Here is a 13,206-nt window from a genome sequence, read left to right as displayed (position 1 = left end):
GCATCGACACTGCCTCCCAAGAAGGAACTATTGTTCTTTTTTTTTTTTTTTCTTTTTTGAGACGGAGTCTCACACTCTTGCCCAGGCTGGAGTGCAGTGGCGCAATCTCGGCTCACTGCAAGCTCCGCCTCCCGGGTTCACGCCATTCTCCTGTCTCAGCCTCCGGAGTAGCTGGGACTACAGGCACCCGCCGCCACGCCCGGCTAATTTTTTTTGTATTTTTTTTTAGTAGAGATGGGGTTTCACCATGTTAGCCAGGATGGTCTCAATATCCTGACCTTGTGATCCGCCCACCTCAGCCTCCCAAAGTGTTGGGATTACAGGCGTGAACCACCGCGCCCGGCTGGAACTATTGTTCTCAATACCTATTTTATCTCCCAATCTGCCCCCAACACCTGGTGTAAACTTAAAAAGGCTGAAGATGGCCCTCAAACCCCACAACAAGACCTCCTTAACCTGGCTTTCAAAGTCTTCAATAATAAGGATGAGCAAAGTAAATTAGATAGAGCCTAAAGAGATCGCGCTAAATACCAACTTCTAGCTGTGGCTATCCGTCAATCTAGCCATAGTACACAAGGGCACAAAAGACCCGATAGCAGTAATCCTCCCGGGCCCTGCTTTAAGTGCGGCAAAGAAGGCTACTGGGCAAAGAAGTCCTAATCCACGAGTGATGAAGAGCACTTGCCCAGTCTGCCAGCAGACAGGCCACTGGAAGTCTGACTGTTGTCTCAACAGTTGGACAGAAAAGCCTGCACCTCAGAATCACCTCCCCTTGAGTGAGACAGAAGGTGAAGAATTGCTTACACTCCCGCAGCTCCTTGACCTAGCCGCTGAAGATGAACGAGGCCCAGGGCCCCAGGCCCCAACTGCCAAACTGCCATCAATGCAGCAGAGCCCAGGGTAACTCTGCTAGTATCAGGTAAGCCGATCTCCTCTTTTTTTTTTTTTTCTTTGAGACGGAGTCTCACTCTGTCGCCCAGGCTGGAGTGCAGTGGCGCAATCTCGGCTCACTGCAAGCTCCGCCTCCCGGGTTCACACCATTCTCCTGCCTCAGCCTCCCAAGTAGCTGGGACTACAGGCGCACACCACCACGCCTGGCTAATTTTTTGTATTTTTAGTAGAGACGGGGTTTCACCGTGTTAGCCAGGATGGTCTCGATCTCCTGACCTCATGATCCGCCCGTCTCAGCCTCCCAAAGTGCTGGGATTACAGGCGTGAGCCACTGCGCCCAGCTGCCGATCTCCTTTTTAATCAATACCAGGGCCACCTACTCGGCCTTGCCTCAGTCTCAGTTGTGGGGATTGACAGATTCATCTCGCGTCCATGTGCCACCAGACCTCTTACTTGTTCCCTATTCAATACCATTTTCTCATAGTCTTTCTATCATGCTTCATTGACCCATCCCCATTCTAGGCTGAGACCTTTTAGCCAAATTCAAGGCTTGTATCACCTTTTCTTGCCTCCCCCAACCTGAGTCCCTCCTACTCCTCTCTGCCAGTCCAGTCCCTGACCCCTCTCCCCAGCACCCACTTCCCACCTCTCTTGTTAACCCAATAGTGTAGGATACCACCATCCCTTCCCTAACTGCTCATCATGACCCCATCAAAATCCAGCTAAAAGGCCAGGCGCGTGGCTCACGCCTGTAATCCCAGCACTTTGGGAGGCCGAGGCGGGCAGATCACGAGGTCAGGAGATCAAGACCATCCTGGCTAACACGGTGAAACCCCGTCTCTACTAAACATACAAAAAATTAGCCAGGCGCAGTGGCGGGCACCTGTAGTCCCAGCTACTTGGGAAGCTGAGGCAGGAGAATGGTGCGAACCTGGGAGGTGGAGCTTGCAGTGAGCCGAGATAGCGCCACTGCAGTCTGGCCTGGGCAACAGAGCGAGACTCCATCTCAAGACCCCTCCAAATTCCCCAACATCCCCCAATACCCCATTTCTCTAACCCACCAAAAGGGTCTACAGCCCATCGTAAACAAGCTCTGCTCACGTGGTCTTCTTTGACCAACACACTCTCCTTGTAACACCCCCATCCTCCCCATTAAAAAATCAGATGGCTCATATTGACTCGTTCAAGACCTCCAAGCCATTAATCAGGCAGTCCTCCTATTCACCCTGTAGTCCCTAACCTCTATACACTTCTCTCTCTGATCCCCTCCAGTACCACCCACTACACTGCTATTGACCTAAAAGATGACTTCTTTACTATTTCCCTACATCCTGATTCCCAAAACCTCTTTGCCTTCACCTGGACTGACCCTGACACCCTCCAATCACAGCAACTCATAGGGACTGTCCTTCTCCAAGGCTTCAGGAATGGTCCTCATTTCTTTGGGCAAGTCATAGCCCAAGACCTCACCTCCTTAGACCTTTCCCCCAGCCGTCTTCTTCAATATGTGGATGACCTCCTCCTCTGTAGTCCTTCCCTAGAAGACTCTCAGACTCACACTATTACCCTTCTAAACTTTCTTGCTAACAAAGCATATGGGGTCTCCCCCTCCAAAGCACAACTCTCCACCCCAACAGTAACATACTTAGGAGTCCAACTCTCCCCCGGGGCCCAAGCCATGACCCTGGCATGGGTAGCCTTAATAGACAGCCTACCCCCACCCTCCTCTAAGAGTGAAATTCTCTCTTTCTTAGGAATGCAGGCTTCTTCAGAATATGGATCCCCAACTTTGCCCTCCTAGCCAGCCCCCTCTATGAAGCAGCCAAAGGCTCTCTAAATGGGCCTCTAAATTCTTCTCACAACATAATCCCCAGCTTCCACAAACTTAAAACCGCCCTTGTGAATTGCCTGAACCCAGGAGTCGGAGGTTGCAGTGAGCTGAGGTGGCGCCACTGCACTCCAGCCTGGGCAACAGAGCGAGACTCCGTCTCCAAAAAGAAAACAAACAAACAAAAAACGCCCTTGTAACCGCTCCTGCTCTATCTTTGCCTGGCATTTCTCAGTCCTTCACTCTCTACACAGCTGAGAACCATGGAATAGCCCTTGGTGTCCTTGGCCAACAAAAAGGAAGCCCTCCTTCTTTTGCTCCTGTAGCTTACCTTTCTAAACAACTATACAATACCACTCGAGGATGGCCAACTTGCCTCAGAGCTCTAGCAGCAGCGGCCACCCTAGCCTTAGAAAGCAAAAACCCAACATTCGGTCAAGACACCACCGACAGCCCACATAATCTATAAGATCTTCTTTCCTCCCGAGCACTAAGTGCCCTTTCTCCATCCCGCATCCAACCACTTCATGCTCTCTTTCTTGAAAACCCTGAGTTCTGTCTCTCCAAAAGTGCTCCCCTTAACCCTGCATCTCTAATTGCAGTATCTTCCTCTCCTCCCACCCACTCCCGTACTGAGATGCTTAATCACCTGCAGTCTAATTTCCCTAATATCTCCCATGAACCTCTCCTCAATCCTGAAGTTATTCATAGAAATTCTAACATCTCCTCACTAATCCTTCCATATCGGTGCGTGCCCCCTGTACCTACTCCTTCACCCTTATTTCTCCTCCCCCCACCTATTCACCGCACTAAGAGACATAACCTCCAACTGTCGTATATTCTGTTACTTCCTCCCAAGCGGCGCTCCGCTCCCCCCATCCCTACACATCAGCTCAGAGGAACACTCCCAGGGGAGGACTGGCAGGTAGACTTCACCCACTTGCCTCCCGTCAAGAGGACAAAATTTCTTCTTACTCTTATAGACACCTTCTCTGAGCGGGTAGAAGCATTTCTGACCTCTTCAGAAAAGGCCGCAGTAGTCGCCCAAATTCTTATAGCAGATATCATCCCTAGATTTGATCTCCCTTGCTCCATACAATCAGACAATGGCCCTAGCTTCATCTCCCAAATCACCCAACAGGTTTATCAGTCCCTCAGCGTCCAGTGGCGCCTCCATATCCCATACTGAACCCAGTCATCAGGAAAAGTTGAAAGGGCAAATGGCATCCTTAAAACTCAGTTAACCAAACTCACTCTTGAAGTCCAGAAACCCTGGACCTCCCTTCTGCCCATAGCCCTAGCCCGCACCAGAGCCAGCCCAAAAGCACCCTCCTTCCTCAGTCCATTTGAGTTAACGTATGGACGCCCTTTCCTCTTACAAAACAGGCCCCCTTCTAACTCTCAGCTAGGAGAATACCTCCCAACACTCTCTCTCATCCACCATCTTCTCCACGAACAAGCCGACCAGGCCCTCCCAAAACCCCATGAAGCCTCCACGACCAGACTCTCCTTCTAGGAGAACATGTCTTCTTAAAAACTCTTAACCCAACCAGCCCCAGGTCTAAGTGGGAAGGCCCTTTCCAAGTCATCCTCACAATCCCCACCGCAGCCAAACTCTCAGGACATGCTTCTTGGTACCAACTTTCTAGATTAAAAAGGGCTCCTACGACTAGTCTGCCTACAAGTGACCCACCCGCCGCCTTCCGCCGATTCTCCAGTTCCCTCCTTGGCCCAACTAAACTCTGCCTCATGCCCGTCCCTAAAGGAGACCCTTAAACAATACCCAGACTCCTCCTTCTCCTCCTGACAATCCCAAGTACATTCCTGATTTCTCTCAAATGCCCTGTTCCTGCCTACCTTGCCACTTCACCCTCTTCATCCTCTCCGTTTGCCAAGACATCTCCTGGTTTCAGCCCCAAATTCCCACTCTCGACTCTCTTTTAGAGTGGATAGATGACCTCCCCTTTCAAGGCACCCTGTGTGACTTTTCCCCAGATGAAACACACTTATTTACTTTCCTACTTACTCTTTGCCTATCTACCGCTCCTAATCCCTTGGCTGCCCCACGTAGCCACACCTCCCCTTTCCAATAGTACCCAGCTACCTCTACAAGACCCTTAGCTTAACTCCCTCCCCACTAAACCAGCCCAACCCCATCCTAGCAGAAGACTGCTGGCTCTTTATCTCCCTATCAACTACCACCTATGTTGCCACCCCCATTCCCTCAAAAGACTGAGTTCTTACTAAGTTAAACTGTCACCCCCGTTATGAAGGAAAAAGCCCCTTACAACTTTTAGACATGCAGTCATTGGCTAAATTTTCTATCATAGATACGACAGAAAACACTCTGACACGGCGCATAGTACAACTTTTACGCTCCTATATCTCCAGCCTTACCCAATATACAAGTAATGACAAGCCCATTCACGGCCCTGTGGCCGCCGGCACCGGTCTGACTTTCCAAGCCCCTGTGTGTATCCAATGCAACCTGCCCTCAGGTCTGACTTTAGGTCACCTACTGTCCCATCAATGTAACCATACCTTACAGCTTCAAGCCCCAAATGACCACCAAAATTTTAAGGTCACCCAAACGGCCCAATTTAAACAACTCATCCACTTTTCAGGACCCCTAAAAGTCACCACCAGCTCTTTACTAAACAATCAAGATTTTGTAATGGCAGACATACAGGCTGTATGGCCATTCACCCATGGGCCTCTTGCAGCACAGCTCCCCTCCCTGCCAAATGCCTCCTTATACCCTCTTTCAATTACTCTTCCAAATGGCTCCTGGTAGACACAAAACGATTCTTGCTCCAGTGGGAGAATAAAACACGAGGAGCCTCTCCAATTATCCCTGCAACTCCTTTTCAGCCACTCACTGGAGCCGCCTTAGCAAGCACCCTAGGCAGGTGGGAGGATGAAAACAATAAACTCACGTGCTTTTTCAATATACATAACCAGTTCTCTCTGCCCAGCCAAGGTACATTTTTCTTGTGTGGAACCTCAACCTATGTCTGCTTCCCTACCAATTGGACTGGCACCTGCACCCTAGTCTTCTTAAGCCCCAAAATTGACATTGCCCCTGGAAATCAGAGTTTACCAATCCCTATTAAAGCTCAAGTCCGTCAACGCAGAGCCGTACAGCTAACACCCCTGCTTATAGGACTAGGAATTACCACCGCAACAGGAACAAGGATAGCAGGCTTGTCTGTTGGGAGAAAAGCTGAGTGTTGGGAGAGGAGCTGAGGCAGGGTTTGCATGTCTGACATAATGTAAAAGAGTCTTGGAACATGCCCAGGGTCCAGGGTCTAAAACCCCCGTGGCCTGGGCAGGCGCGGTGGCTCATGCCTGTAATCCCAGCACTTTGGGAGGCCGAGGCGAGTGGATCACTAGGTTGGGAGATTGAGACCATCCTGGCTAACATGGTGAAACCCCATCTCTACTAAAAATACAAAAAATTAGCCTGGCGTGGTGGCGGTCGCCTGTAGTCCCAGCTACTTGGGAGGCTGAGGCAGGAGAATGATGTGAACCTGGGAGGCAGAGCTTGCAGTGAGCCGGGATCTCGGCATTACACTCTAGCCTGGGCAACAGAGTGAGACTCCGTCTCAAAAACAAACAAAAAAACCCTCCTGGCCTTTGGAGTGTGTCTAGACTTGCTGGCTCCTTGCTTCTAGCACTCCCATTATCTCAAGTAGCCATATGTTTCAAAGAAAATGCTAAACCGGCACAGCTGCAGCTCAGTCACTTGATACAGTGCTTCCTTTCAACCCCCACATCCTCACCACCTGTTTCTTTGTTTGATCACCAATAAATAATGTGGGCTCCCAGAGCTGGGGGCCTTCACAGCCTCCATACTACAGTTGGCCCCCTGGTCCCACTTTCTCTTTTGTCTTTTCTTATTCCTTCAACTCCACTGGACCTCGTAGCCCCCACGGCCTGGTGTTGGGCCTGATCACCCCAACCCTTGTCCACCTCTCTGTCCTACTATCACGGTCTCTCAAAAGATCTCTTGGACAGCCTGTAAGACAGCTGAATCCATCCTTACTCTCCAATCCCAAATAGACTTTTTTTTTTTTTTTGAGACGGAAACTCGTTCTGTTGCCCAAGCTGGAGTGCGGTGGCGCGAGCTGGGCTCCCTGCAAGCTCCGCCTCCCAGATTCAGGCTATTCTCCTGCCTCAGCCTCCCAAGTAGCTGGGACCACAGGCACCGCCCACCACCATGTCCAGCTAATTTTTTTGTATTTTTAGTAGACATGGGGCTTCACCATATTAGCCAGGATGGTCTTGATCTCCTGACCTCATGATCAGCCCGCCTCTGCCTCCCAAAGTGCTGGGATCACAGGCATGAGCTACCGTGCCCGGCCCCAGATAGACTCTTTAGCAGTAGCGTCACTTCAAAACTGTTGAGGTTTAGATCTCCTCACTGCCGAAAAAGGTGGACTGCGCATCTTCTTAGGAGAAGAGTGCTGTTTCTATACTAACCAGTCAGGACTAGTACGAGATGCTGCCCAACGGTTAAATGAAAGGGCTTCTGAAATCAGGCAGCGCCTTTCAGACTCCTGGCCCCAGTAGTTTTGTAACCCCTAGGCACCCTGGCTAATGCCCCTCCTAGGCCCTGCCATAACCCATTTTCTCCTTTTAGCATTTGGCCCTTGCCTCCTACATCTCCTTACCCAGTTTTTACAGGACCATATTAGAGCCTTCACCCATGGGACAGTACAAGACATGATGCTACTTCAAGAACAACCATCCCAACCCCACAGCCTTTCTCCATAAACATCGCCCCTCTTTTTTTTTTTTTTTTTTTGAGACAGAGTCTTCCGACTCTGTCGCCCAAGCTGGAGTGCAGTGGCATGATCTCGGCTCACTGCAAGCTCTGCCTCCTGGGTTCACGCCATTCTCCTGCCTCAGCCTCCCGAGTAGCTGGGACTACAGGCGCCCATCACCACGCCCAGCTAATTTTTTTTGTATTTTTTGTAGAGACGGGGTTTCACCGTGTTAGCCAGGATGGTCTCGATCTCCTGACCTCGTGATCTGCCCACCTCAGCCTCCCAAAGTGCTGGGATTACAGGCGTGAGCCACCACGCCCGGCCAACATTGCCCCTCTTTAGCTAGAAGCAGTCAGAAGGCAATGACACCCCCTCTCTATTACCTATTAAAGGATGGAATGTTAGGGACCCAACCCGGCAAAGGCCCACCGCCAAGGCGGATGTTTTCCCCACCCCTTGTTTTTCTCTGTCCCCTCTTTTTTTCACCATCTGCAGGCCCTCCGCCAAGGCAGATGTTCCCCAGCTGTTGTTTTGCCCATCGACCAGGAAGTGGGTTTACCCAGAAACAGCCCCTAGGCGCCCCTGCTCCCTCCCTAAAATACACTTATACCCCCTAGTCTGTAAGCCTGGGCTGTTGCCTCCTCTGATTGCTGTGGAGCAGCCCAGCAGGTTACTAAACGCTTGCCTGACTTTGGGTCTGCTTGTTCTTTCTCTCGGCTAACCTTACAAGATGGAGTTTCGCTCTTGTTGCCCAGGCTGGAGTACAACAGCATGATCTCGGCTTACGGCAACCTCTGCCTCCTGGGTTCAAGCGATTCTCCTGCCTCAGCCTCCCAAGTAGCTGGGATTACAGGCATACACCACCATGCCTGGCTAATTTTGTATATTTAGTAGAGAGGGGGGTTTCTCCATGTTGGTCAGGCTGGTCTTGAACTCCTGAACTCAGGTGATCTGCCCGCCTTGGCCTCCCAAAGTGCTGGGATTACAGTGAGCCATTAGCACCCGGCTTTTTTTTTTTTTTTTTTTGAGACAGAGTTTCACTCTTGTTGCCTTGTTGTCCAGGCTGGAGTGTAATGGCAGGATCTCGGCTCATTGCAACCTCCACCCACCAGGTTCAAGTGATTCTCCTGCCTCAGCCTCCAGAGTACCTGGGATTGCAGGGGTGCACCCACACGTCCAGCTCATTTTCGTACTTTTAGTAGAGACGGGGTTTCACACGTTGACCAGGCTGGTCTTGAACTCCTGACCTCAGGTGATCCATCCGCTTCGGCCCAGGTGATCCACCTGCTTCAGCCTCCCAAAGTACTAGGATTACAGGCGTGAACCACCTCGCCCGGCCAAAACCTCAGGCTTTTTTTTTTTTTTTGAGAGGGAGTCTCGCTCTGTCGCCCAGGCTGGAGTGCAATGGTGTGATCTCTGCTCACTGCAACCTCCACCTCCAAGGTTCAAGCAATTATCCTTCCTCAGCCTCCCAAGTAACCGGGATTACAGGCGCCTACCACCACGCCCAGCTAATTTTTTTGTATTTTAGTAGAGACAGGGTTTCACTGTGTTGCCCAGGCTGGTCTTGAACTGCTGAGCTCAGGCAATCCACCCACCTCAGCCTCCCAAAGTGCTTGGATTACAGGCGTGAGTCACTATGCCCAGCTCAGGTCTGTTGATTTAAATGTTTACTACATCTAAAAAATAGCTTCAGGCTAGGCACGGCGGCTCATGCCTGTAATCCCAGCACTTTGGGAGGCTGAGGTGGGTGGATCACTTGAGGCCAGAAGTTCGAGAGCAGCCTGGCCAACATAGTGAAACCCTGTCTTTATTAAAAGTACAAAAATTGGGGCCGGGCGTGGCGGCTCACGCCTGTAATCCCAGCACTTTGGGAGGCCGAGGCGGGTGGATCACGAGGTCAGGAGATTGAGACCATCCTGGCTAACATGGTGAAACCCCGTCTCTGCTAAAAAAATACAAAGAATTAGCTGGGCGTGGTGGCGGGCGCCTGTAGTCCCAGGTATTCCGGAGGCTGAGGCAGGAGAATGATGTGAAACCAGGAGGCGGAGCTTGCAGTGAGCCGAGATCGCGCCACTGCACTCCAGCCTGGGCGACAGAGCGAGACTCCATCTCAAAAAAAAAAAAAAAGTACAAAAATTAGCCGGGCATGCTGGCACATGTCTGTGATCCCAGCTACTTGGGAGGCTGAGGCAGGAGGATCGCCTGAATCTGGGAGGCAGAGGTTGCAGTGAGCCAAGATCGCAGCAGTTGGCTCCAGGCTGGATGACGGAGGGAGACTGTCTCAAAATATATATATTTTTTTTTAGACTGAGTCTCGCTGGAGACTCTAACCCAGGCTGGAGTGCACGATCTCGGCTCACTGCAACCTCTGCCACCCCGGTTCAAGTGATTCTTGTGCCTCAGCCTCCCAAGTAGCCAGGATTACAGGCACCAGCCACTAAGCCTGGCTAATTTTTGTATTTTTAGTAGAGGCGGGGTTTCACCATGTTGGCCAGGCTGGTCTGGAACTCCCAACCTCAAGTGATCTGCCTCCCTTGGCCTCCCAAAGTGCTGGGATGACAGGCATGAACCACCACGTTCGGCCAAAATAAATAAATTAAAAATACCTTCATGGCAACAGCTGGACTGATGTTTGACTACACAACTCTAGGCACTATAGCCTAGACAATCTGACACGCAAAATTCACCACCACGGCTCACACCTATAATCTTAGCACTCTGGGAGGCCTAGCACTGTGAGAGGACTGCTTGAGCTCAAGAATTTGAGACCAGCTTGGGCAATGTAGTGAGACCCTGTCTCTATAAAAAATTTAAAAAATTAGCGGTAAGTGGTGGCATATGCCTGTAGTTCCAGCTAGTAAGGAGGCTAGGGCCTCACTGAGGCCCAAGCAAAGCTGCAGTGAGCTATGATTGTACCACTGGACTCCAGTATGAGCAAAAGAGGAAGACCCTGTCTCAGAAAAAAAACAAAAACAAAAACAAAAACTAACCACTACACCTGCTTAACCTTGTTTAATTAGTGCTTCTCACCAGGACACTTATGAATGTGTTGAGGGCCTATATGCCTTATCACCCCTACTTCAGCAACTCCTGTCTGGAGCCCACCAGGAATGAGCCAGGGACAGGATTCAGCCCCGTTTAAAGAGCAGGCTAAGCCAGGTGCAGTGGCCCATGCCTGTAGTCCTAGCTACTCAGGAGGCTGAGGATGGAGGATTGCTTGATCCCAGGAGGTGGAGACTAGCCTGGACAACATAGTGAGATCCCAGCTCAAAAAAACTTTTTTGTAATGGCTGGCCCAGTGGCTCACCTAGAATCCCAATGCTGTGGGAGGCCCAGGCAGGAGAATCACTTGAGACCAGGAGTTTGAGACCAGCCTGAGCAACACAGTGAGACCACCTTCTCAACAAAAAATTAAAAAATTAGCCAGGAGTGGTGGTGCATGCCTGTAGTCCCAGCTACTTGGGAGGCTGGGGCAGGAGAATCACTTGAGCTTCAATGAGGCCCAAGTAAGGCTGCAGTGAGCTATGATTGCACCACTACACTCCAGCCTGGGGGAAAGAGCAAGACCTCATCTCTATAAATAAACAAATAAACAAACAAATACATAAAGTGTGCTAGCCTGTTCCATTTTCCAGCCTCTTGCTTGTTAGAAGGTCTTCCATGGTTTCTACCACTTCTGTCCCGAGTCTCTCAACGGAGGGTTCGTGCCTCCTGCCTGAGACAATTCTTCAGGTATCTGAAGCCGGTTTTCATGTCTTCCCTCCTCCTGCTCTACCCAATCTCTCTTCCCAGCCCATTCTCTTTATCTCTTTATCCAGGTTTCTAGCTGTAGCCCTTCGAGTAGGTCGTCATACACTAGATTTCCAGAAACTTCTTCCTGAGCCAACCATCTCGTGTGCTTCATGGGTAGGACATCCTGCAGCCAAGCCTCGGCAGCATTCTTGGGCCTCTGGGTCTGTGACTTCCACAGTCTGCAAGCAACTGTCTTCGTCTTTTTTTTTTTTTTTTTTTTTGAGATGGAGCCTCGCTCTGTCGCCCGGGTTGGAATGCAATGGTGTGATCTTGGCTCACTGCAACCTCCACCTCCGGGTTCATGCGATTCTCCTGCCTCAGGCTCCTGAGTAGCTGGGATTACAGGTGCACACCACCACACCCGGCTAATGTGTTGTATTTTATGTAGAGACAGGGTTTCACTATGTTGGCCAGACTGATCTTGAACTCCTGACCTCGTGATCCGCCTGTCTCAGCCTCCCAAAGTGCTGGGATTACAGGCGTGAGCCACTGTGCTCGGCTGCAACTGTCTTCTTTAAAAGAAAAGCAGGCCGGGCGCGGTGGCTCAAGCCTATAATCCTAGCACTTTGGGAGGCCGAGGTGGGCGGATCACCTGAGGTCGGGAGTTCGAGACCAGCCTGACCAACATGGTGAAACCCCTGTCTCTACGAAAAATACAAAAATTAGCTGGGTATGGTGACACATGCCTATAATTCCAGCTACTCCCGAGGCTAAGGCATGAGAATCACTTGAGCCCAGGAGGAGGAGGTTGCAGTGAGTCAAGATTATGCCACTGCACTCCAGCCTGGATGACAGACTGAGTCTCCATCTCAAAAAAATATAGATAGATAGATAGATAGATAGAAATAAAAGAAAAGCAGTAGTTTCCCTCTACCTAGATTGTTGACTTCATGATGGCACCAACCTAATTTATATTTGTCAAGCTCCTAAAGCATCTAATGGGATGTGTCTTCCCTTCCCACCCCATGAAGAACCATGGAGAATCCTACTTGTCATCTGGGACTCTAGGGAACTTTGAACATGGGTAGGAGTGGAGAGAAGATAGAAGAGGGAAAAAGCGGCTGGGCGCGGTGGCTCACGCCTGTAATCCCAGCACTTTGGGAGGCCGAGGTGGGCAGATCACGAGGTCAGGAGATCGAGACCATTCTGGCTAACACGGTGAAACCCCGTCTCTACTAAAAATACAAAACATTAGCTGGGCGCAGTGGCGGGTGCCTGTAGTCCCAGCTACTCGGGAGGCTGAGGCAGGAGAATGGCGTGAACCCGGAAGGCGGAGCTTGCAGTGAGCTGAGATCGCGCCACTGCAGTCCCACCTGGGTGAAAGAGCGAGACTCCGTCTCAAAAAAAAAAAAAAAAAAAAAAAGAAGAGGGAAAAAGCTGCCCTTGCTTAGGCCTGGCCACCTAGGTATGGTACAAAGCCAAGAACCAATTTCAATGAAGTTACAATACAACACATTCTAACAGCAAGGGTGAAATAATTGGAAACTGGCCGAAGTGTCTAGGAAGGTCTAGCCAGCACTTAGGTGGCAAGTGGATTGATGAACAAGGCCTGGGGACAGTTCAAGGGGCAAAGGCAGAGGCAAGGTCCTGTTTGGAGGATGGCAGCCAGAGGGGCCCTATAGCCAGGGGTCCCACTAAGTGTGGCTCTGCTGGCCCCTCACTCACCTGTCACACAGGGTCACCTCGGGTCTGTGCCTCACCTGCAGACAGCCAGAATGGAGAGGGAACAGGCCTGCCAGGAGGTAATCTCCGGGGAGGGTGAAGTCAGGAGAAGACTCCGTGCTATGGCAGGCAAAGGCCCAGCAGCAGGAAATGAGAAGCTGCAGGCCGACCAGGCGAGCCGTGCAGAGCAGCATGCTGGCCAGATGCCCGCGCCTGGCATGGCCAAGGAGTGGCCTCTAAGGAGGCCAGTTGCTTAAATAG

General features: G+C 50.9%; 1 protein-coding gene and 1 long non-coding RNA gene across 5 annotated transcripts in view; one reads left to right on the top strand and one right to left on the bottom strand.

The window, feature by feature from the left end:
• LOC107984912 (uncharacterized) overlaps positions 1-965 on the top strand; it is an 11,886-nt gene extending 10,921 nt beyond the window's left edge. Inside the window, exon 3 of one of the 2 annotated variants that reach the window (XR_002958250.1) lies at positions 815-965. This is a non-coding gene — a long non-coding RNA (uncharacterized LOC107984912). Of the gene's footprint in view, positions 1-735 lie in introns of both variants that reach the window. The other variant, XR_001737881.1, reaches the window with a different exon arrangement.
• TAS1R1 (taste 1 receptor member 1) overlaps positions 1-13,206 on the bottom strand; it is a 24,449-nt gene extending 11,243 nt beyond the window's left edge. For all 3 annotated transcript variants that reach the window (NM_138697.4, XM_011542206.3, NM_177540.3), the window contains exon 1: positions 12,949-13,206. In NM_138697.4, the coding sequence (NP_619642.2) occupies positions 12,949-13,139 (191 nt within the window). In that variant the 5' untranslated portion in view covers positions 13,140-13,206. The remainder of the gene's footprint in view (positions 1-12,948) is intronic.

This window comes from Homo sapiens, chromosome 1, assembly GCF_000001405.40.
Source record: "Homo sapiens chromosome 1, GRCh38.p14 Primary Assembly".
Taxonomy (NCBI): Eukaryota; Metazoa; Chordata; class Mammalia; order Primates; family Hominidae; genus Homo; species Homo sapiens.
This window is presented reverse-complemented; position numbering and strand designations above follow the sequence as displayed.